At 38.9% G+C, this 26411-nt stretch overlaps 1 protein-coding gene across 22 annotated transcripts in view, besides 1 other annotated feature; it reads left to right on the top strand.

The window, feature by feature from the left end:
- Positions 1-26411, top strand: part of RGS7 (regulator of G protein signaling 7) — a 582489-nt gene that overhangs the window by 447677 nt on the left and 108401 nt on the right. The window lies entirely within an intron of this gene.
- Positions 20917-21444: an enhancer, noted in NCBI's record as "OCT4-NANOG hESC enhancer chr1:241051410-241051937 (GRCh37/hg19 assembly coordinates)". NCBI's record gives its function as "activates a minimal SCP1, AML or CMV promoter by ChIP-STARR-seq in primed H9 embryonic stem cells {active_cell/tissue: H9 hESC(primed)}" and the evidence as "EXISTENCE:reporter gene assay evidence [ECO:0000049][PMID:30033119]".

Here is a 26411-nt window from a genome sequence, read left to right as displayed (position 1 = left end):
GAGTTTCAAAGACATCTTGTTATGACACATTTAGGTAGGGTAAAAGATTCCATGGCTGTGTTATCTTACTCTAGGTAAGTTATAGGTAGAAAAATAACTTAGCGATAATAATAAAGTGACACTATATAGGCAAAATTGTAGACTAGGGGTGGGAATATACAAGGAAAACAGACATATTTGTTTCAGAAGATGGGGTATGGATAACTCGCATTTGTACTGTAAAGTATACATATTTTATTGGTGAAATAATTGGAAGTTTATAGTCTAGAAATGTCATTGATGCAAATATGCTTCATTGCACTGTATGGGATTCACCAAACAACTTATAACAAACTAAATTGATGAGGATAACATAAACATAAATTTTCAACTTAAATTCATAAACATCAGTCTCTGAAAATCATGACCAACTCAGAACACTGAGGAGCAGTAATAAAACATCCTCTTGGAATGGAAAATTACTGGAATCCCAATTATCCAAGGACGTGTGCATTCACAACTTTGTGATTCTGCTGCGTATGATGTGACAGGCAGACTTTCTAGGAAAGTCCGAATTAGAGGTCTCAGGAAATTTTATTAACAAGCAAATTTAGTTCGTGCGTTCCAAATGTTAGCATAACCTTTTTGCATGTTGTTTCCCTGCAACCTGAAGGAAACACTTGCAGCCCTGGGCTGTTTTCTAGTCCTCAGAGCAATGGAATTCAGGTCTTTCTTTGAGAATCACAGATTTAGGTGGCTTGTTCACATTAACAAACTTTCCTAGTCCCAATTCCTTGGGTAAACCAAGCGGTCCTCCTAGTTTTCTTGTGAATTAATTGAATCAGGTAAGCAGGTACCTTTTTCAAGTGACAATAGAAGCACTTAGAGGATAATAATTCTGGTCATTCACAGGTGAGGGAGGAATTACTTTGGAACCTGGGTTGCCTTCTATCTTAGGTGGAGCTTTTACCTGGCAGGGAGGGAGTGGAAGGGAGGTAGAGGGTTTTGACAGTGTCAGTGTAAGAGCAACTCCCCTTTACGTAAATGTAGGCTTAACAACTATAGGAAAGACGTTGATTGATTGATTCATTCATTCATTTGTTCATGTGGGCTTAAGAACTACAGGAAAGACATTCGTTCATTCATTCATTTGTGTAGGCTTAGTAACTTCAGGAAGTGCATTTGTTTCATTGAAAATTTTTCTTTTTTTAATTTAATTTAATTTTTATTATGCTTTAAGTTCTAAGGTACTTGTGCACAATGTGCAGGTTTGTTACATATGTATACATGTGCCATGTTGGTTCACTGCACCCATTAACTCGTCGTTTACATTAGGTATCTCTCCTAATGCTATCCCTCCCCCCTCCCCCCACCCCACGACAGGCCCCGGTGTGTGATGTTCCTCGCCCTGTGTCCAGGTGTTCTCATTGTTCAGTTCCCACCTACGAGTGAGAACATGTGGTGTTTGGTTTTCTGCCCTTGGATATCACTGAACATTTTTCTAAAGAAAAAGTTAACCATGGTGGCTATGGTAAAAACAAAAACTGTTCTGACTTTGTAAGGAGACTCCTTAAAAATCAAAGAATGGAAGGGAAAATTAAAAAATAAAAATAAAAGAAGACCATGGATAAGATTGTTTATAATTTAAATCAAAACGAATGGCATGTATTTTATGGATCGGCACTCTTATTTCATGAAAATTCCATTCTCTCAAGTCTAGCGGTTAAGGCCGACAAGACGCCATGTTTCACTTGGTTGGTAAATGTGTCTACAGGAGAGGACTTATCTTGTCATTGCTTCAATATTGAGGGGTGAGGGGAAACAGAACGTTGCTCACTTATTACGGGATAAGATTTACTTTTTGATCAAACATTGAAGTTATCTCAACGTGGGATGTTTAGAGACAGGGCCTTTCACTAACACCCTAGGTGGTAAACATTCTGCCTCTGCTGCATCCCTTGTTGGGGAACAGCTTTTTGTGCTATTTCTGAAACAACAATACTCCTTTTAAGCTCAAGTGATCTGCCAAAAAAAATTCTTTCATGAAAACCTCCTTAAAAGGAAACACATATCTAACTTCATCTTTTCCTTGAGCAAACTTTAGTATTTTATTATTTTAGTATTTAGTATTTTATTTCTACGATTTAGTATTTTATTTATTTTATTTCTATTTACTATACTAATACTATTTAGTATTTAGTATTTTATTTATTTTATTTCTACATTCTCTTAACAGAAGGGAGATTTATACTATTTTATTTATAAGATTTATACTAGCATATTTAAAATATACTATTTTATTCTCCTGAACAAGGAGAGGAACCCTAACCATGTTTTGACATTTTTTCAGGCATGACAATTGCATACACTAAAACTCTCCATTGCCCCAGGATGTCAAGGTCAGTGTTAAACCTTGACTTTCTTTAGTCATGGAATGTCAGAGCTGGAGGGAATCTAGCATCCCATTCAACAGTTTCAGGTAAAGGTGAGGCAGCCAAAGTCCGGAGATCTACAGGAATCACCAAGCCAAGATCACACCTCTCCTTCCTGGCCAAGTTTAGAATACACTAAAAAGTTAGATAAGTAGGAAGATGCCTGAATCCTTCCCTAGAGTATTTAACAAAGATTTTCTATAACTTATTCTTAAGCAGCTGTACCTTTTCTCAGGCTCTTAGGTATACCAAATTTATTACACCATTGTATTTCTAGCTTTGTTATGGGACAGATTTTGTGAAGCTGTGTTTTATGTGATTGACCTGAGCTATGCTTTTTTGCTAGGTTTGAGGTGTTGGGTTCTTGTTAAAGAGGCTCCTCTTTGAGCCAAGAAATGTTTTTCTAAGGCAGCCCAGTGCCCTGCTGTTGCTTTCTGGTTTCTTTGCAAAGCTTTGGCCAGCTGCCAGCTGTTATAATAAAAGCAACAGTGATAACACATTGTACTCCTAGTAGATCACTGTGCTATTTGTCCAGGTCCAGTGCTATACCACAGGTTGGATTCCCCAGAGGGAGGTAGAAATGGTAAGGCTTGCAAAGACTGCTTATACTTATTTCTGTTTTAGGCATGTTTTTCTAGCTTGGAAAAGAAAAATGTCTTTGCTTAGGTTATACGGAGGACCTAGAATCCCTCTGCCCAAGTGACTGTTCCAATTCTTGGTTCATACCACGAGATGAAACACTCTAGAGTTCAGTGTGTCAAGAGGGACGTCTGGGAATGGAGTCACCAGCACACTACTTTGCAATTGCTGAGTGCACTCTGAAGGTTAAATCCTGCTCAAAGGCTGGTGCAGTACCCTGGGAGGGCATTTAATGATGTACCTGTGTGGGCTATCCAAAGCACAGATACGCAGACACAGGAGGAGTCATCAAAGAGAATCGTTTCACCACCTCTTTCCAGAGTGATCAACACAGCCTTGTTGTGAACTTTATAGATATTTGCTTAGAGTTCCTAGTCTCCATCTAGTATTACTATGCCTCAAGCCACTGTAGCAAAAATACTTTCAGAGGATTGCCCTGCTAAAACCAGTGTGGCAATATGGGTGGTAGGACTATGCCGGGCAGATGGTATGAGATGGAACCTGGGAAATTAGTAGCTCCAGGTTCAAAGCCCCAGCTAGCATTTTCACTGGTGAATTTCACATCGTAACTGACATGACCAATTTTTAAGATGCACATTTACAAATACTTGTTGAGCATCTAGTCATGTGCAAGGCATTCTCTTCATGCAATGGCGGGATTAGAGGTGAGATCCCTGGTGCATGTCATCTTAGAGCCAAGGAGAGGAAACAGGTAGAGTCCAAAAACAAACTTTACCCTTCAGCGTAGCTCCAGCATGACCTTCCCCTGATGACTAATTCTTTATCCAGGAATACATTCGCTCAGGACTTGAACTCCACACTCCAACGCTTCCACTGAGCACCCTGAGTGCATTGCATTTTCCCATTCCTTCTGTCTGATCCACCAGGAAGAATATAAGTTTTGGAATCAGACTAACTGGGCTTCATATCCTGACTCAGCAATTAATAGTCAACACCTTGTGTCAATGACTTCACTTTTTTGAGCCTCAGTTTTCTCAGTTGTGGTTGGGTGCAAAATGGAATCTGATTTTGAGATCCCATTTTATTCCCAATCATACATGGTTACTCAGTCAGTAGTTTCCTCCCTTCCTCTCTCCGCCTACCTGTCGCTGCTTCTTTCTGGTTCTTCTATTCTCTGTATTGAAGATATTGCAAAATCTTTGTTGGTAACAAGGGTTCTTTTACATATTCTTCATTATGTTTGACATATATCATGTTAACAAGGCAGACGGGTAAGAAAATCAGGGTTGCAGTCTTAGTTATTGCTGGATTCATGGAACATAAGATTTTTTTTTCTGACTTCCTAAAAAAATATGGCAAGCACCAATCAACACATAGTGCTGTGGCAACAGTCTTAAATGGATTTTGATTTGCAAATCATATTATTCTTGTCTTAAAATATATTCATTGGTTTCCTTGGAAACTTTGATTTTAAGGTGTGCATTGTAAGTTTCAAAGTTTATAACCATAGTGATATGGATCATTTTAGCATCTCCTGGTCTTTATTTTTTTTGTACCCTGAACTGGCAAAAGTGTTAGCTACTGGTAATTTTTAAGGGCAAGCACCCTATCATGCTTTAGAATCATTTATGATGTTTGTGTATTTAGCCATGCATGGAGCATTGAAAATACCATGCATTATGAACTGAAATTGAAAAAGATCTGAACTGTCCCTTATTCAACATTTTAAAAATATGTTTATATCCATATACCTATATTATTCTTCTGTGGACTAAGTATAATGTCCAGTATCATCCAGCTTGATTGGCTAATGATCAATATTCCATGCTTGGCAATTCATATAAACTTTTCCAGACCTTCTTTGCCAACACCCATTGAAAGAACAGTTTCATTTGTCCCATAAACTCAAAATAGAGAACAAGTACTCTTTTAAAGCAGGTTTTCTAAAATTTAGATTTCTGTTGATTAATCCCTCTGGGCAATTTGAGAGAGACAGAGGAAGGAAGAGAGAGAGAATAAATGCTATCCTTTTACAAAACTGCAGGTAACAAGCATATATTTCAATAAAAATACAAAACATATGACTCTAAATAAACTTACTCCAAAATTACATAAGAAAATAAGTTAATTTTATTCTCACACTTGAGTGTGTGTTTGTATGTGTGTGTTGAAGATGAGCTATTACACATAGACCACACACAAAATGCAGCAGAGTGCACTTTAAGAAATGTCAAAGCTTTGTAACACTCCCGTCCTGATCTTTTCTGGGAGAAGGTATTATATTACTCACTTTTAGTTCACATAGTTAATTATCTTAATTTTAAATTTTCAATAAATTTTATTCTTTTCTCCATCCTGACTCTCTCCTCCCAAAAACAGGGAATGACTTATGTTGTGTCTTGGAACTAAGAGAAGCCAAAACTTAAAATTTACTTACCTGGAATGAAGATGAGAATGCAGAGTAGTAACAGATGCCACCGTTGTAATTAAAAGCTATCTTAGTTCATTTAGTGTTGCTAGGAAGGAATAGCGGACTCTGGGTAATTTATAAACAAAAGAGGTTTATTTGGCTCACAGTTCTGCAGACTGTACAAGAAGCATGGCACCAGCACCTGCTTCTGGTGAGGCCCTCAGGCTGCTTCCTCTCATGGGAGAAGGTGAAGGAGAGCTGACGTGCAGAGATCACATTGCAAGAGAGGAAGCACAAGTGAGGTGGGAAAGTGCAAGGCTCTTTTTAACAACCAGCTCTTATGGTTGCTAAAAAGAGAATTCACTCATTACCACTAGGATGGCACCAAGCCATTCGTGAGGGATCTGTACCCATGACCCAAACACCTCCCATTAGGCCCCACCACCATCATGGGGATCAGATTTCAACATGAGGCTTGGAGGGGTCAGATATCCAAACCATAGCAAAAGCCAAATGTTGCAAAATCTTGGACTCATCATAGGAAGATCAGCATTGTTGTGGGGAAAATAACTAGGCCAGTTCTGCCAACTATAATTATCTATAATTATTTATTTTTAATATATAATTAACATATCATTGATATAAATATATTATTCTTCCCACTAATGAATAGGCAATAACCCTTAAGTGACGAAGGAGATTTGTGCTGTCCAACATGGAAGCCATTAATTACATATGACTATTTAAATTAAAAAATTTAAATATCACTTAAATTAAATTAAAAATTCTGTTCCTTCATCTCCTAGTCACATTTCAAGTGCTCTGTAGCCACATGTGGCTAATGGCTATCATATTGGACAGCACAGACATACCACATTTCTGTTATCACAGAAAGTTCTAGCAGACAGCACTGATGAGCAAATTTTCTGGCCTACTTTGATATATTTGTTTCCTCTTCTTTTTGACAGCTGATTCTTTGTGGCATAACCCATGTTGTTGTCACTCATAATTCTGTGCAGCATGGTCTTGAAAAGTCTGAACTCTGCCTTCATGATTATTTAAACTTTGCTATCAGAACACCAATATGTTTTTCTTGGATTTTTATTATAAAAGTAATTTTTATTCCCTGTAGAAAACTTTCAAAGTATGGAAAGAAAATACAAGATAACACAAGGCAACCTAAAATGACCTAGGAATTATTAGCATTTCTAAAATTATACTATGTTGCATTTTGCTACTTTTAAACACATATACATATTCTTCAAAATACAATTGTATGTCCTATTATTTGCTTGATATTATGTTATGATAAGTTACTAATATCATTTAATTCTCTACAAAAACATTGTTTTAATAGTTGCATAACGTTCTGTCATTTAGATGTCCCATAGTTGTTTAAATATTTAGTTTTGTTTCCTAGTTTCTCTCTATTGTAAACAAACCAGTAATCTACCATCTTGGAATCAAGTAATTGCATTTGTCTGACTTAAAGACCAGCCTGGGCAACATAGTGGAAGTTTGTCTCTATTTTTAAAAAATTAAAATATATGAGCATATATGGCAGTTGAATAGAAGGGACAGCATCAAACATTAGAAACATCTTGTCTTTCTGGTTTTGTGGCTTAAAATGTGACCCAGGGCTCATGCATATAATCATGTCCTAAAATTTCCCTGTTAAAGGTGCAAAGAAATGTAATGATAGTGTACTCCAGAAAAAAAGAGAAATAACAATGGTAGCCAAATAAAATATATTTATTTTAAGTTAACATTTTATTTCATCATCTTGGCAAAATATTACCATGAGATTAGCTCTTCACAGCAAAGGTTCTATAGTAAGTAGAGATATGTCTAAATAGTTGTAATGCTTCTTATTTGTAGTTTTTTGTAGTTTAAACTCAACCAATTGTTTACAAAAACATATTTTTCTATATAGTTGACAAGAAACATTAGATTTTTACCTCCCTGATGGTTTTAGTAGTTTGCATTTGAAATAGTTTTCAACTGAGACCTTCTGTCTTACCAATTGATTGAATTTATGGAAACCATTTTGTGGGACAACTTCCTAAAGGAAAGCAGCCTTTCTGATGAATAAAATCTGGAGAGAAAAACATTTCGATGGCTCTATTGACCCTTAACATAAAGGGTTGTCAGAACTAAAACAAATGCCCTATTTCTTTAGACACAAAGAAATGGTAGCTAAAAATGTAACAATACATTACTAGGTGTATCAGAGAAAATATATAACTAGATGTGAGAAACGAAGAATGAATTTAAATGAAGAGTGATAAGTTTGAAAGCCTGCAGAGGTCTGGGAGAATACTGGATTTAATATTCCACTAGGAGTGGGAATGAGGAGTAATGCTCCCAAAGTGACAGTGAACATGACTTGGAGACCATACGTAGTGAGGAGTAGTGACTGAGACCCCAGAAGAAAGACAGGACCTCAACGTCAAGCCATTATAACTATGCCAACCAACCCAGGGAAGCAATAAGGAAGTGGAAAGAGAAACAAGTTAGTATCTTAGAAGAAGTAAAACCCCAAGCCTGTGCTATGCGTAAGTATGATGTCAGGAATCACCAAGCCAATAAATAAACATAAAAACTGGGTTCAGGCTTTCGAGCCCTTGGAATACGTGGTGTGGTAGGTTATTCTTGCATTGCTGTAAATACCTGAGACTGGGTAATTTATAAAGAAAAGAGTTTTGGTTCTTGTTCCAAGATGGCTGAATAGGAACAGCTCCAGTCTACAGCTCCCAGCATGAGCGACGCAGAAGACGGGTGATTTCTGCATTTCCAACTGAGGTACCAGGTTCATCTCACTGGGGCTTGTCAGACAGTGGGAGCAGCCCACGGACCATGAGCTGAAGCAGGGTGGGGCATCGCCTCACCTGGGAAGCACAAGGGGTCGGGGAATTCCCTTTCCTAGCCAAGGGAAGCTGTGATAGACAGTACCTGGAAAATCGGGACACTCCCACCCTAATACTGCACTTTTCCAATGGTCTTAGCAAACGGCACACCAGGAGATTATATCCCATGCCTGGCTCGGAGGGTCCCACACCCACGGAGCCTCGCTCACTGCTAGCACAGCAGTCTGAGATCGAACTGCAAGGCAGCAGCGAGGCTGGGGGAGGGGTGTCTGCCACTGCTGAGGCTTGAGTAGGTAAACAAATCGGCCAGGAAGCTCGAACTGGGTGGAGCCCACCGCAGCTCAAGAAGGCCTGCCTGCCTCTGTAGACTCCACCTCTGGTGGCAGGGCATAGCTGAACAAAAGGCAGCAGAAACTTCTGCAGACTTAAACGCCCCTGTCTGACAGCTTTGAAGAGAGTAGTGCTTCTCCCAGCACAGAGTTGGAGATCTGAGAATGGACAGACCGCCTCCTCAAGTGGGTCCCTGACCCCCGAGTAGCCTAACTGGGAGGCACATCCCAGTAGGGGTCAACTGACACCTCATATGACTGGGTGCCCCTCTGAGATGAAGCTTCCAGAGGAAGGATCAGACAGCAACATTTGCTGTTCTGAAATATTTGTTGTTGTGTAGCCTCAGCTGGTGATACCCAGGCAAACAGGGTCTGGAGTGGACCTCCAGCAAACTCCAACAAACCTGCAGCTGAGGGTCCTGACCGTTAGAGGGAAAACTAACAAACAGAAAGGACATCCACACCAAAACCCCATCTGTACGTCACCATCATCAAAGACCAAAGGTAGATAAAACCACAAAGATGGGGAGTAACCAGAGCAGAAAAGCTGAAAATTCTAAAAATCAGAGTGCCTCTTCTCCTCCAAAGGAATGCAGCTCCTCGCCAGCAACGGAACAAAGCTGGATGGAGAATGACTTTGAGGAGTTGGGAGAAGAAGGCTTCAGACGATCGGTAATAACAAACTTCTCTGAGCTAAAGGAGGATGTTCAAACCCATTTCAAAGAAGCTAAAAACCTTGAAAAAAGATTAGACGAATGGCTAACTAGAATAAACAGCGTAGAGAAGACCTTAAATGACCTGATGTAGCTGAAAACCGTGGCATGAGAACTACGTGACACATACACAAGCTTCAATAGCCGATTCGATCAAGTGGAAGAAAGGGTATCAGTGATTGAAGATCAAATGAATGAAATGGAGCGAGAAGAGAAGTTTAGAGAAAAAAGAGTATAAAGAAATGAACAAAGCCTCAAGAAATATGGAACTATGTGAAAAGACCAAATCTTCATCTGATTGGTGTATCTGAAATTGACAGGGAGAATGGAACCAAGTTGGAAAACACTCTTCAGGATATTTTCCAGGAGAACTTCACCTACCTAGCAAGGCAGGCCAACATTCAAATTCAGGAAATACAGAGAACGCCACAAAGATACACCTCGAGAAGAGCAACTCTAAGACACATAATTGTCAGATTCACCAAAGTTGAAATGAAGGAAAAAAATGTTAAGGGCAGCCAGAGAGAAAGGTCAGGTTACCCACAAAGGGAAGCCCATCAGACTAACAGCTGATCTCTCAGCAGAAACTCTACAAGCCAGAAGAGAGTAGGGGCCAACATTCAACATTCTTAAAGAAAAGAATTTTCAACCCAGAATTTCATATGCAGCCAAACTAAGCTTCCTAAGTGAAGGAGAAATAAAATCCTTTACGGACAAGCAATTGCTGAGAGATTTTGTCACCACCAGGCCTGCCTTATAAGAGCTCCTGAAGGAAGCACTAAACATGGAAAGGAACAACTGGTACCAGCCATTGCTAAAACATGCCAAATTGTAAAGACCATCGATGCTAGGAAGAAACCACATCAACTAATGAGCAAAATAACCATCGAACATCATAATGACAGGATCAAATTCACACATAACAATATTAACCTTAAATGTAAATGGGCTAAATGCTTCAATTAAAAGACACAGGCTGGCAAATTGGATAAAGAGTCAAGACCCATCAGTGTGCTGTATTCAGGAGACCCGTCTCATGTACAGAGACAACACATAGGCTCAAAATAAAGGGATGGAGGAAGATCTACCAAGCAAATGGAAAACAAAAAAAAGCAAGGATTGCAATCCTAGTCTCTGGTAAAACAGATTTTAAACTAACAAAGATCAGAAGAGACAAAGAAGGCCATTACATAATGGTAAAGGGATCAATTCAATAAGAAGAGCTAACTATCCTAAATATATATGCACCCAATACAGGAGCACCCAGATTCATAAAGCAAGTCCTTAGAGACCTACAAAGAGACTTAGACTCCCACACAGTAATAATGGGAGATTTTAACATCCCACTGTCAACATTAGACAGATCAACGAGACAGAAAGTTAACAAGGATATCCAGGAATTGAACTCAGCTCTGCACCAAGCAGACCTAATAGACATCTACGGAATTCTCCACCCCAAATCAACAGAATATACATTCTTCTCAGGACCACATCACACTTATTCCAAAATTGACCACATAGTTGGAAGTAAAGCACTCCTCAGCAAATGTAAAAGAACAGAAATTATAACAAACTGTCTCTCAGACCACAGTGCAATCAAACTAGAAGTCAGGATTAAGAAACTCACTCAAAAGCGCTCAACTACATGGAAACTGAACAACCTGCTCCTGAATGACTACTGGGTACATAACAAAATGAAGGCAGAAATAAAGATGTTCTTTGAAACCAATGAGAACAAAGACACAACATACCAGAATCTCTGGGACACATTTAAAGCAGTGTGTAGAGGGAAATTTATACCACTAAATGACCACAAGAGAAAGCAGGAAAGATGTAAAATTGACACCGTAACATCACAATTAAAAGAACTAGAGAAGCAAGAGCAAACACATTCAAAAGCTTGCAGAAGGCAAGAAATAACTAAGATCCGAGCAGAACTGAAGGAAATAGAGACACAAAAAACCCTTCAAAAAATCAATGAATCCAGGAGCTGGTTTTTTGAAAAGATCAACAAAATTGACAGACCACTAGCAAGACTAATCAAGAAGAAGAGAGAGAAGAATCAAATAGATGCAATAAAAAATGATAAAGGGTATATCACCACCAATCCCACAGAAATACAAACTACCATCAGAGAATACTATAAACACCTCTACGCAAATAAACTAGAAAATCTAGAAGAAATGGATAAATTTCTGGACACATACACACTCCCAAGGCTAAACCAGGAAGAAGTGGAATCCCTGAATAGACCAATAACAGGCTTTGAAATTGAGGCAATAATTAATAGCCTACCAACCGAAAAACGTCCGGTACCAGACGGATTCACAGCCAAATTCTACCACAGGTAAAAAGAGGAGCTGGTACCATTCCTTGTGAAACTATTCCAATCAATAGAAAAAGAAGGAATCCTCCCTAACTCATTTTATGAGGCCAGCGTCATCCTGATACCAAAGCCTGGCAGAAACTCAACAAAAAAAGAGAATTTTAGACCAATATCCCTGATGAACATTGATGCAAAAATCCTCAATAAAATACGGGCAAACCGAATCCAGCAGCACATCAAAAAGCTTATCCACCATGGTCAAGTTGGCTTTATCCCTGGGATGCAAGGCTGGTTCAACATAAGCAAATCAATAAAAGTAATCCATCATATAAACAGAAACAAAGACAAAAACCACATGATTATCTCAATAGATGCAGAAAAGGCCTTTGACAAAATTCAGCGGCACTTCATGCTAAAAATTCTCAATAAACTAGGTATTGATGGGATGTATCTCAAAATAATAAGAGCTATTTATGACAGACCCACAGCCAATATCATACTGAATGGGCAAAAACTGGAAGCATTCCCTTTGAAAACTGGCACAAGACAGGGATGCCCTCTCTCACCATTCCTATTCAACATAGTGTTGGAAGTTCTGGCTAGGGCACTCAGGCAGGAGAAAGAAATAAAGGATATTCAATTAGGAAAAGAGGAAGTCAAATTGTCCCTATTTGCAGATGACATGATTGTATTATTTAGAAAACCCCATCATCTCAGCACAAAATCTCCTTAAGCTGATAAGCAAATTGAGCAAAGTCTCAGGATATAAAATCAATGTACAAAAATCACAAGCATTCCTGTACACCAATAACAGACAAACAGCCAAATCATGAGTGAACTCCCATTCACAATTGCTTCAAAGAGAATAAAATACCTAGGAGTCCAACTTACAAGGGATGTGAAGGACCTCTTCAAGGAGAACTACAAACCACTGCTCAACGAAATAAAAGAAGACACAAACAAATGGAATAACATTCCATGCTCATGGATAGGAAGAATCAATATCATGAAAATGGCCATAGTGCCCAAGGTAATTTATAGATGCAATGCTATCCCCATCAAGCTGCCAATGACTTTCTTCACAGAACTGGAAAAAACTACTTTAAAGTTCATATGGAACCAAAAAAGAGCCCACATTGCCAAAACAATCCTAAGCCAAAAGAACAAAGCTGGAGGCATCACGCTAACCTGACTTCAAACTATACTACAAGGCTGCAGTAACCAAACCGCATGGTACTGGTACCAAAACAGAGATATAGACCAGTGGAACAGAACGGAGCCCTCAGAAATAATACCACACATCTACAACCATCTGATCTTTGACAAACCTGACAAAAACAAGAAATGGGGAAAGGATTCCCTATTTAATAAATGGTGCTGGGAAAACTGGCTAGCCATAGGTAGAAAGCTGAAACTGGATCCCTTCCTTACACCTTATACAAAAATTATTTCAAGATGGATTAAAGACTTAAATGTTAGACCTAAAACCATACAAACCCTAAAAGTAATCCTGGGCAATACCATTCAGGACATAGGCGTGGGCGAGGACTTCATGTCTAAAACACCAAAAGCAATGGCAACAAAAGACAAAATTGACAAATGGGATCTAATTAAACTAAAGAGCTTCTGCACAGCAAAAGAAACTACCATCAGAGTGAACAGGCAACCTACAGAATGGGAGAAAATGTTTACAATCTACCCATCTGACAAAGGGCTAATATCCAGAATCTATGAAGAACTTAAACAAACTTACAAGAAAAAATCAACCCCATCAAAAAGTGGGCAAAGGATATGAACAGACACTTCTCAAAAGAAGACATTTATGCAGCCAAAAGACACATGAAAAAATCTCATCATCACTGGCCATCAGAGAAATGCAAATCAAAACCATAATGACATACCATCTCATACCAGTTAGAATGGCGATCATTAAGAAGTCAGGAAACAACAGTTGCTGGAGAGGATGTGGAGAAATAGAAACACTTTTACACTGTTGGTGGGACTGTAAACTAGGTCAACCATTGTGGAAGACAGCGCAGTGATTCCTCAAGGATCTAGAACTAGAAATACCATTTGACCCAGCAATCCCATTACTGGGTATATACCTAAAGGATTATAAATCATGCTGCTATAAAGACACATGCACATGTACGTTTATTGCGGCACTATTCACAATAGCAAAGACTTGGAACCAAGCCAAATGTCCATCAATGATAGACTGGATTAAGAAAATGTGGCACATATACACCATGGAATACTATGCAGCCATAAAAAAGGATGAGTTCATGTCCTTTGTAGGGACATGGATGAAGCTGGTAACCATCATTCTGAGCAAACTATGGCAAGGACAGAAAACCAAGCACCGCATGTTCTCACTCATAGGTGGGAATTGAACAATGAGAACACATGGACACAGGATGGGGAACATCACACACCGGGGCCTGTCATGGGGTGGAGGAGGGGGGAGGGATAGCATTAGGAGATATACCTAATGTAAATGACACGTTAATGGGTGCAGCACACCAACATGGCACATGTATATGTATGTAACAAACCTGCACATTGTGCACCTGTACCCTAGAACTTAAAGTATAACTAAAAAGAAAGAAAAAAGAAAGAAAGAAAGAAAGAAAAAGAAAGAAAAAAGAGGTTTAATTGGCTCATGGTTCTGCAGGCTGTTCAGGAAGCATCGTGCTGGCATCTTCTTGGCTTCTGGTGAAGCCTCAGGGAGCTTTCAATCATGGTGGAAGGTGAAAAGAGAACAAGCATGTCACATAGTGCAGGAGCAAGAGGGAGAGAGTGAGGGGGAAGGGCCACACACTTTTAGATGACCAGATCTCACGAGAACTCACTATCATGGGACAGCCCCAAGCCATGACGGACTGTTCCATCCTCATGGTCCAAACACCTCCCACCAGGCCCCATCACTGGCATTGGGGATTACAATTCAACATGAAATTTGGGTGGGGACAAATATCCAAACTATATCACCTGGAAAAAGTAAAGCTAAAATTGCTATAGAATATTGTTTCCTAGTCCATTGCACATGGAATTCCCATAAGAAAACCTATTCTTCTGAAGGTGAGCTAGCAACGAAAATGAGAAACCACCCAAGAAAACACTGTATCATAAAGAAAAGTAAACAGATTGACAAGAAATTTATATTAGAATAATCTAAATAATATTTTTAGACCATTAAAATTATATAAAATTACCCGCAAAAAATGATATGAGAGCTAGATAATATTAGAAAAAAAAATCAGGAAAAATTCCAGGAAGATTTGATAAACAACCAAAGAGGCTTTGTAATAATACAAATATTATACAAATAAATATGGTCGTTATAATTAAAACCTCAGTGCACAAGTAAATTGGAAGAAAGATCTAGAATGCTGCACAGTTGCATAAGGAGATGGAAAATATGGAAGAGAGGTTAAAACACATAGAGTAAAGGATGTTAGACCCAGAAGAGAACACATGAGAGGGGTTTCAGTAGGAGAGCACAAGAAACAAGCAGTATTTACTGAAATCATAGTTGAGGTAGTTTTTAGAACTGAACAAGGACATAAATCCTCAAATTTTGAAAGACACTGAGCGCTAGTTACAGTTGGTGAAAATGTAAAGTCTGCCAATAGATGCACCTCCCCAAACTTGAAGAAACTCAAGGAAAAAGAGACTTTACTTTTATAAAGGAGGATTTTAAAGCAGCAAAAGAATAAATACGTAGCCTATCTCCAAAATTGTATAAGCACTCATGAAGGTCAGAAATGAAGAATAGTTTCAAGGCACTGAGAGAAAATATCAGGTAACCTATATTTGTATAGCCAGATATGATATTATTTAAATTTGACAACCAATATTGAAAGAGTTTTCCATTCACAGACCATCACTAAGAGATCTACTAAAAATAGCCTTCTATAAGCAGGAAATTAAACCAAGAAAAAAGGAATGAGATTCGAGAAGCAGTTTGGATAAAAGAAATTGATCAATGCCCAAATAAGCACTGATTGTTTTACAATGATTAATTTTGAAGTTCAAGTCAAAGTGGAATTAAAATGACACATAACAATAATATATCAGTTATGAAAAACTCTTCAATCTCATATGCTTAGTAACTTTTAATCTCACTCAAAATAATTAAAAATTTCAAGGAAGAAATTGCAATGGAAGTTGCAAAATAGAACTGGGTTTCCTTTTCCTCTGTGGGTATTCACAGAACTTTTTAGGTTGTTCAGTGGAACTGCAGATTTAAAGGACTATATATTCTCAAGTTTTGGAGTTTTGTTTTTTTTTAATGCAGTCTTTCTAAGCATCATGAAGATTTTTCTAATAAGGGAAGGCTCTCATTTCAAATAGAAGGATATTAAGACCTATTCCTAAATAATTTTCAGAGAAATGTGGTTAAATATTTGTTTTTAAATACTATGGGAGAAATATGCCTGGTTTAACATAAGCTAAATGAATCAGGGAAGAGAAAGAAAATTAACTCCTGACGAGCTCTTACATATAAAAACTCACCTGCTGCTTTACTTAAAAGCAAAATCGTTTTCTTAAAGATGTCTTTACTGCAACTATTCATTATTAATGGATTTATCTTAATAATGCAATGGATAAGTTAATCAAAGAAAAACTGAGTCACGTAGAAAGTTTATGGCTATGTTAACACTCTAGGTCCTTTAAGACTCAACAACCGTATTGCCAGTTTAGGAAAGCCTTCTTCGATTTTCACTGGCCCCACAGTAGATGGTGGTCATGAGGACTGGGTCAGTCAGCTGTCTATTTCACTGGATTGATCCTCTTGGGAGTTCAAGAACTACATCTTATTTATCTTAGCGTTCCTAGTTCCTAGGACAGTATTTATCACTTAACTAGATATTCAAAAAGATGTATTGAGTGAATGAATAAATAAGTGTTCTTGATTCTTGAAATTTATTATGTGATCTAGTTGCAACACATTTAGCTCTAAAGACACTAAGTATCTATACTCAGATTGATAGTTAAAAGAAAAATCTTAGAGAAATAGTTCAACAGAGTTTAATTGAGCAAAGAATGATTTCCAAATCAGGCAGCCCCAAATCAGAATAGGTTCAGAGAGACTGTGGTTGAAAAAGATTTATGGACAGAAAACAGAACACGGCTCATGGAAAATAGAAGTGAGGAAAAGAAACAGCCAGATTGGTTCAGCTTGACATTTTCCTTATTTGACACAGTTTCAACAGTGAGCTGCCTTTTGTTGACCAAAACTCAGTGATTGGTACAAGAGTAGGTTGTTTACACATACAGTTAGGTTCCAGTTTATTATGTATGGAGAAACCCCTAGGCCCAACTTAAAATATGTAAGAAGACAGCTTTAGGCTCAACTTAACAGCAGTAAGAAAGAAAAATGTAGGGCTGTGAAAAGCAACGTTTTAGATGACCATTTCTGAATTTCACTGAGGAGCTTTATGGTTGTCCTACGGGGCTTTTGGCTTGGGAGAATATTGATCACTTATTTCCATAGCTTGAAATTGCAGTCAAGTGAGCATACAAAAAAATAGCCCTTGTTCTAGAACCTCTAGAGAAATTTTAAGGGACATAATTGTAAGATGTCAAAAATACATCAAAATTTCCAGATGATGAAAGCAATTTAGAATACTTGGTTTTAATTTCATATTCTAAAAGGACACGTCATTACTAGGGGCCTCAGAAGAGAATGCAAGCAAAGTACATAAGAGAAACATAAGATATACTAAGGGAACCATTAGCATAGAGTTATATGATGCATTATACATACTCTGATTTAATTAACTTACATGCTCACTAAATAAGGAAGCAGTGTGAGGAATAAAAACCATAAACTACCACCCCTGGGGCAGTATCTTGCTCAGTGATGATAAGATCCTCCCGTCCTCTCAGAGTCTCTGGGGTCTTCTCAGAACTTCTTGCCCTAAAGCCTCTATTCCAGCCCTGGCTCTGTCACTTCTAGCTCTGAAAACTTTCGCCAACCCTTTTCCATTCTGAGCCATCTAATAAGAAAGCAACAAATTAAATGTGTGGTTCTTTTAACTCACACAGCTACCCTGAACTTCACAGGAGATAACATATATGGAAGTGTCTGACACACTAAATTTGAATTGCAAAGTCATGGGGGTTATCCACTTACCTGTGAAATGTATAGCAAAATATTAAAATTAATTATTGTTTACCTACTTATTTGTTTCCTCCATTTAACACAAGGAATTAGGAGACTAAGAATGTTGGTCTGAATTATATATCTCTATCTTAGTGCCTGGAATATTGCCTGGCACATTAAACAAATTAATCACTGAATGAATGCATTTAGCTTTAAAATTTAATATAAAATTACATTGTACGTTTGAAAAAAATGACTTCATTTTAATTTCTTACTTAATATATTTTAAATATAGCTTGAAGAAATAGATGCATTATAGAGAGATTCTGAATATAAATATATGGTTGGTTATTATAAAAAAGAAAGTTATGGCCAAGGTCGTGAGGCCAAATTCTAGTTTATTTCTAAAATTATATGTTCATTTGAATCTGAAGTAACACTTAGAATTATCATTACACTTCACTAAAGAACTGATAATCAGTTGCATTGCAGATATAGTTAATCTTACATTTGCATAATATGTTACAAGCTTTCAGAAAGCTTTTACATTGATAATTTCCTTCAATTTTCATAACCACCCCCCCAGTGATGCTGGAAAAAAATAATTAAATTACCTGTTTTTCAGGAATCTGGCTCAGAGAGGACAGATGACTTACTTGTTACTCAACTAAGAGCAGGTAGCAAATTTGATGAAGTTAAAGCCACTGTTTCTTAAGAGTCTTGCAAAGTTTTGTCTCACTATAATCCTTTCTTTCTGCATTGATCAGGTGATGTCACTATCCTTTCCTTGCACTCTCAAGAATATCGTAGGCCTCTTTTTTTCAGCAGGAGTATGCATTAGGTTGGTGCAAAATGAATGGCGGTTCTTGCCATTGGATATTAAACTGCTCTCCAAGCTACATTTTAGGATTTGTCCTTGATCAGAGATTGTACTAAATATTTCTCCAAATTAGAATGGCTCTTCCCAGACAACTGGGTTCAAATTCCAATGCAGCCATTTATTAGCTGTGCAACAAGAACAAATCCTGTAAACTCTCTGTGCCTCAGTTTCCTTTTCTGAAAAATAGAAGTAACAATAATACACCCACTGCACAGGGTTGTTTGGAGAAATAATTAATCTATAAAGCACAATCACAGTGCCTGGCACATGGCAAATGCTAGTGAAATGTTAACTATTATTATTATTGTTGCTGTTACTATTTTCATTATCATTCTCTTCAAGCATTATTTATTTTCATTATTTTTAACTTTAAGCAATACTTATTTTCATTATTCTCATTATTATCTTCAAGCTATTGTTAGTATTATCATAATCTTCTTCTAAAAAGGAGGCAAGGCTGGGTATGGTGGCTCACCCCTGTAATCCCAGCACTTTAGGAGGCCAAGGTGGGCGGATCACAAGGTCAAGAGATCGAGACCATTTGGGCCAACATAGTGAAACCCCATCTCTACTAAAAACACAAAAATTAGCTGGGTGTGGTGGCGCACGCCTGTAGGCCCAGCTACTCAGGAGGCTGAGGCAGGAGAATCACTTGAACCCAGAAGGCAGAGGTTGCAGTGAGCCGAGATTGCGCCACTGCCCTCCAGCCTGGTGACAGAGCGAGACTCCGTCTCAAAAAAAAAAGAAGGGCAGAAGCCCCAGAGATCAAGGAAGTATGTCCACCAGGAAACGGAGATTGTTTCATTTGACACAAGCTCCGTTTTGCAGGACTGAGTACGGGAGGGCAGAGTGTGGGGAGGGAAGTCTCTGCAAACCAGTGACTGTTTTGGCAAATAGGAGGAGTGAAGAAACAAAAGGTGGAAACTCTGAGAGATAATTGTACACGGGTCAGACAAATCCCTGTAAAATCAGCTTTTTGTACCTTCTTGGTAGCATCCGCGAACCACCATCAGCCTCTAGTGTGCGCATGCGATGGAGGAGGGGACACTACAAGAACAGGGCCAGGGCTCTTTTCAGATCACCGTCATCTCAGGGATGTTCTGTGCTGGTATTTCAAAATCACCATGCGTCATATCAGACTGATCTCTAGTTAGATAAGTAACAGAACCAAGTGGGCTGATTTGGAACAACAACAAAAAACTAATGTATTTCACCGATCAAGATAACACCAATGCTGTGTTGTTTTCCTATTGTATCATTACCACGATTATTATTGTTATTTAAAAGTCTGCTACCTGCTCTTGCTTTTACCATCCAGTCGCCTCCTAGAAGCGGAGAAATAATTACGTGTAAATCCCATCATATCACTGCTCTCACAGCTCCCAGGAGTTTCCATTGCGATAGCGAACCTGAGCCCCTAGCCAGGGCTCCGTAGGCTCCCGGCTCAGCCCTGACATAACCTCTCCCTTCCCTCCAGCTCTAGCCACCCTGCTGCTGGTGTCCCATTCCTGGACTTTTTCTGAAACGTTCCCTGCTTATTTTCTGCTCAGGGCAGTCCCCCTTGCTGTACCGATGGTGCTCTCTGCCTCTAGATATTCCTGGAGTTGATTCCCTCTTACAATTTAGATTTCAATTCAAAAGTTACCTCTCGCCAGGTGCAGTGGCTCACGTCTGTAATCCCAGCACTTTGGGAGGCCAAGGCGGGCAGATCACCTGAGGTCAGGAGTTCAAGACCAGCCTGGCCGACGTGGTGAAACCCCATCTCTACCAAAAATACAAAAATTACCCGGGCGTGGTGGCGGGCGCCTGTAGTCCCAGCTGCTTGGGACGCTGAGGCAAGGAGAATCGCTTGAACCCGGGAGGTGGAGGTTGCAGTGAGCCGCGATCGCACCACTGCACTACAGCCTGGGCAATAGAGTGGGACTCCGTCTCAAAAACAAAACAAAAACAAATGTTACCTCTTTCTTCATTGAGGCCTTTGACCGTCATAAAATCCGAAGTAGCTCTGCCCTTTGCACCCGCTGCTTCCCTCTCTCTGCCTCCGCGTTCCCTAACCTCCAGCTGTCACACACAGCCTAGTGGTTAACTGAGTCGATTCCGGTCTAATGCCTGGCTTTGACTGTCGCCTCCACCAAGAAAGTAGTACTCAGTCTCGTCCTCTCATCCAGCCTAAATTGCCTCATCAGCAAAATGGGAAAGTTGATAGCACCTCTTCTCAACGCGCGGCTGTGCAGTTTAAACAAGATAATGTATGTGAAATTCTTGAATAGTTCTTGGCTCATGGAAAGCATTCAATAAATTTTGGACATTGTTATTACTTTATTCACATTATTCTACATTGTCACACCACAGACCAGTACAAAGTAAGCCCTCTGAGAGCAATGATAGCCAACTGCGTTCATCGCCGGGTCTCCAGGCCTTAGGAAAAGCCGGGCACAAGGTGAAACAAATGAATACATCCAGTATCCACACACACCTGTCTCACTTTTCCTCCATTTTCTCCCCTTAAACGCAGAATTTCTGCTTTTCTCCAGCAACTGAAGATACTTAAGTTCAGCACCTCATGCAATTAGCCCACATAAGACCCCTTTACTGTTTTAGGATTCTTGAAATTCTTTGTAAAGCTGCCATCTTCTAGTTTTACCAGGTGAGACTGAAAGCGTACCTGGTGCAATGGCGCCCTCTGCAGGTAGACAGAAGAATTAACGTGGTCCCAGCTCCAGGAACTGCGTTCTTGAGGGACATCACCTGTGCGGGTGCAACTGCAGTGCTGTCTTTTCTGCCCTGTCCAAGACATTTTTTGCTTAGTATTTCTCTATAATGTAACCTCATTGAGGATAGAAGCTTTGTCTATACTCCCAATCCCATCACCAATATAGTAGGCACCCAGTGCATGTTTGTTGAATAAATATGTGAATAGAAAAAGAGTAGTTTTCAATCTTTTGTATCCCCAAGTGGCCCAGCAACATGGGGAAGCTACTGATAGAAAATAGTGATCAGCTGATTAATTGTATGCAACGTTTGGGTAGCAAGATAAGTGATAACACAAATAAAAGGAATGAGGGAACAGAAAGAATTAATAATTAAATAGAAAATTAAAAATATAGTTTAATGACACTGAGGTATCCATTAAACACTTAATAAAACTAGTTACATGTTTTAAATTGAAATATATTTTGAGATAATTTAAAAAAATATTTAAAAATCATTGGCAGTATATTCAAGATGCAACAGACACATGTAATTAATCGATATTGTTTACAAATCTTGGCAGTGCAAATTCATTGCAGTTCTACAAGGAAGAGACACTTGTCAAATGAGACACTAAGATAACTCTAGGTCCAACCCTGTGGTATCTCACTTAAAAAAGAACTCTATATAAAACTATATACTCTCACGCCTGTAATCCCAGGACTTTGGGAGGCCGAGGCGGGCAGATCACGAAGTCAGGAGATTGAGACCATCCTGGCTAACACGGTGAAACCCCATCTCTACTAAAAATACAAAAAATGAGCCGGGCGTGGTGGCAGGGGCCTGCAGTCCCAGCTACTCGGGAGGCTGAGGCAGGAGAATGGCGTGAACCCAGGAGGCAGAGCTTGCAGTGAGCCAAGATCGCGCCACTGCACTCCGGCCTGGGCAAAAGAGCAAGACTCCATCTCAAAAAAAAAAAAAAAAAAAACCTATATACTCAAAATGATCTTCAAAAGGATATTTCATTTATAAAAGAACTTGCTATAATTTTCTTTTGAGTAGAAACTTATGCAGTGACCTGAAAGTACAATATATCTAGTAATTCCATACATTACTTTCCGTCTGTAGTTAACACAGAACTCTCCAACACATCATCTCCAAGAATTCTTACCTCAGTCCTATGGAATAGACACACCAAGTATCTTTATTCTCATTACACAGGTGAGCAAATCAGGATGGTCTAGAGACTCATCCAATATCATAGTTAACAGGAAGGCCAGAACCCAAGGTCTTCAAACTCATGGGCCATTGTTCCTTCTATTATACCACATGGCATGTTCTAGAATATCTGTGAATGTGTCTTTCCATATTAGTGATCAGAGGATCAGACAATTAAGCAAATGATCACTATTTTCTTCCCCATGTTGCTGGGCCTTTTGGGGAGAAAAAGATTGAAAATTGCCCTTTTTCTATTCTAGGCATAGTCTGACTCTAATGTCCTGAGTAATTTAGCAGCAGTTTGGGACTCTCAGTCTCGTATTGGTTAGATCATCCTTTATTTTTAACACTCTGCTTATGTCTCTCTCTTTTTATTTGAGAAAGAAGAAAAAGAAAGAGAAAGGGAGAGAGCGGTGAGGAGTGGGAATGGGAAGGAATCAAGTGGAAACAGGTTCAGATATTCAATGAAATATGTGTTTGAAGATCATTTGGGGTTTACATTTTTATAGACAGTTATTTTATTAAGCAAGATGCCACAGGGTTGGATACAGTTATTTTAGTGTCTCATTTACCAAAATATTCAACGAATAATTCAACCATGATTCTTTTAGTCCAGATTCAATGAGCACAGATTTGAATGACAGAACTTTCCTTTGAAAGTCACACGGCTCCTCTGGGCTTATCCATTGGGTGTCATGTTCCACTGGATGGATTATTGTGGTACTTTAAAAAGGTGCAAACTCTCAGAACCTGTCACTTTGGTTGATATGTTTAAATAAGAGACAGAGAAATTAAGAACCCTTGACCTAGTATTATGGGAGATTTACATGAAAGTATTACATGAACATTTACATGGAAATATTTTAACCATTTTGCTTGGAACAGTGGCTCAGAATTATAATTATCATAACAGTTAAAGTATGGTATTTCTTACTTTATTACATTTTTTAAAATAGATATTGCATTGGTTTAAAAATAATACGATAAGCAAAAGAGCAAATAATGTTACCTATGAAAGAATGAAGTTAGGAGGTATAGAATATGAGAGTTTTGTATGTGTTATTGTTACAGAAAACGTCCTGTTTTAAAACTTTTATCTTAGGTTTGGGAGTATGTGCGCAGGTTTGTTATACAGATAAACTCGTGTCACAGGGGTTTGGTGTACAGATTATTTCATTACCCAGGTATTAAGCCTGGTACCCAATACTTAATGTTTTTCTGCTCCTCTTCCTCCTCCCACCCTCCACTCTCAAGTAGATCCCAGTGTCTGTTGCTCCCCTCTTCGTGTCCATGAGTTCTCATCATTTAGCTCCCACTTATAAGTGAGAACATGTGGCATTTGGTTTTCTGTTCCTGCATGAGTTTACTAAGGATAATGGCCTCCAGCTCCATCCATGTTCCCTCAAAAGACATGATCTCATTCTTTCTCATGGCTGCATCGTATCCCATGATGTAGCTGCACCACATTTTCTTTATCCAATCTGTCCTTGATGTGTATTTAGGCTGATTCCATGTCTTTGCTATTGTGAATAGTGCTACAGTGAACATTGGCATGTGTCTTTATGGGAGAATGATTTCTGTTCCTCTCAGTATAGTCCCAGTAATGGGATTGCTGGGTCCAATGGTAGTTCTGTTTTTAGCTCTTTGAGAAGTTGCCATACTGCTTTCCACAATGGTTGAACAATTTACACTCCCACCAAGAGTGTGCAAGTGTTCTCTTTTCTCTGCAACCTCGCCAGCATCTGTTGTTTTTTGACTTTTTAGTAATAGCCATTCTGAATGGTGTGAGATGGTATGTCATTGTGGTTTTGATTTGCATTTCTCTAATGATCAGTGACATTGAACCTTTTTATCATGTGATTGTTGGCCACATACATGTCTTGTTTGGAAAAGTGTCTGTTCATGTCCTTTGCCCACTTTTAATGCAGTTGTTTGTTTTGCTCTTGTAAATTTAAGTTCCTTATAGATGCTGGATAGTAGACCTTTGTCAGATGCATAGTTTGCAAATATTTTCTCCTATTCTATAGGTTGTCTCTTTACTCTGTTGGTAATTTCTTCTGCTGTGCAGAAGCTCTTAAGTTTAATTAGATACTATTTGTCAATTTTCGCTTTTGTTGCAGTTGCTTTTGGTGTCTTTGTCATAAAATCTTTGCCCGTTCCTGTGTCCAGGATGGTATTGCCTAGGTCATCTTCCAGAGTTTATAGTTTTGGGTTTGACATTTAAGTATTTAATCCATCTTAAGTTGAATTTTGTATATGGTGTAAAGAAGGGATCTAGCTTCAATCTTCTGCATATGGCTAGCCAGTTATCCCGCACCATTTATTGAATAGGGAATCTTTTCCCCATTGCTTGTTTTTGTCAGCTTTGTGGAAGATCAAATGGTTGCAGGAATGTTCCCTCATTTCTGGGCTCTCTATTCTGTTCCATTGCTCTATGTGCCTGTTTTTGTACCAATACCATGCTGTTTTGGTTACTGTAGCCCTGCAGTATACAAAAACATTCATCAGTGTTCTCCAGCAGAGGGAATAAGACACAAACACATGTGTGATTCTTCTTATCCAGAGTAGCAATGTTTTATAAAGTTACCTTGAACGCTGAATTAGGGGATACTGAATCATTGATCCTGGGGGAAATACAGGATAAGTTTCCTGCAAGCCCCTGGTCACATTTTTTTGTCAATGGATCAACCCACAATCTTCATGCATATGTGTTTCTGTTTAAAGACATCTTATTTAATGTATATTTTTAATTCATACTGAGCTCACAGGCAACAGCACTATAACTCATGCCTGAATGAAGCTTATCTAACACGTTAATTTTTCCGTAAGGCACGCCACAGCCTTCCCTGATTGAGAAACACTAGACAGCACTTCAATACTACTCTTGGGGCCTTTTTTTTTTTTTTTTTTTTTTTTTTTGAGATGGAGTTTTTGCTCTTGTCGCCCAGGCTGGAGTGCAATGGCGTGATCTCAGCTCACTACAACCTCTGCCTCCCAGGTTCGAGCGATTCTCCTGCCTCAGCCTCCCGAGTAGCTGGGATTATAGACGTGTGCCACCACGCCTGGCTAATTTTTGTATTTTTAGTAGAGACGGGGTTTCACCATGTTGGCCAGGCTGGTCTTGAACTCCTGACCTCAGGTGATCCACCCGCCTCAGCCTCCCAAAGTGCTGGGATTATAGGCATGAGCCACCATGCCCAGGGGCCATTTTAAATAGCAAGATTGTCAACCAAAAGCATAAATGCAAAAAATGTGGCACCACATGTCCCACAAAAAGGATGTTTGTTTACAGTATGAGAGCTGGAACAGGAGGCCGAGCATTGTCTTGGTTGACATCAGCTGGTCATGTGACTGTTAGGTGACTTGAGAATTTGCCACTCTGTGAATGGCCATGAATAACCGTGAAAGCTCCATGAGTTATTGATTTGAGGGCTACAAACAAATTTTAGTAAGTAGGCAATTTCCAGGCAGGGAATCAGCAAATAATGAGGATTTAATGTGAGGTTTAAAGGAGATGAAGAAAGTACATTTGGGAAGAAGAGAGTATCCGTCACACCTTAAGGAACTACAAGTTGCCAAAACGCATGAACGTGAGAAAAGCAGCCACACCTTTCAGATTTGTTATAGTGACATTGTTTTTTGTTTTTTTAAAAAATTTTTATTATTATTATACTTTAAGTTTTAGGGTACATGTGCACAACGTACAGGTTTGTTACATATGTATACATGTGCCATGTTGGTGTGCTGCACCCATTAACTCGTCATTTAGCAGTAGGTTTATCTCCTAATGCTATCCCTCCCCCATCCCCCCACCCCACAACAGCAAAGACTTGGAACCAACCCAAATGTCCAAC

This window comes from Homo sapiens, chromosome 1 (genome assembly GCF_000001405.40).
Source record: "Homo sapiens chromosome 1, GRCh38.p14 Primary Assembly".
In the NCBI taxonomy this organism is placed as follows: Eukaryota; Metazoa; Chordata; class Mammalia; order Primates; family Hominidae; genus Homo; species Homo sapiens.
This window is presented reverse-complemented; position numbering and strand designations above follow the sequence as displayed.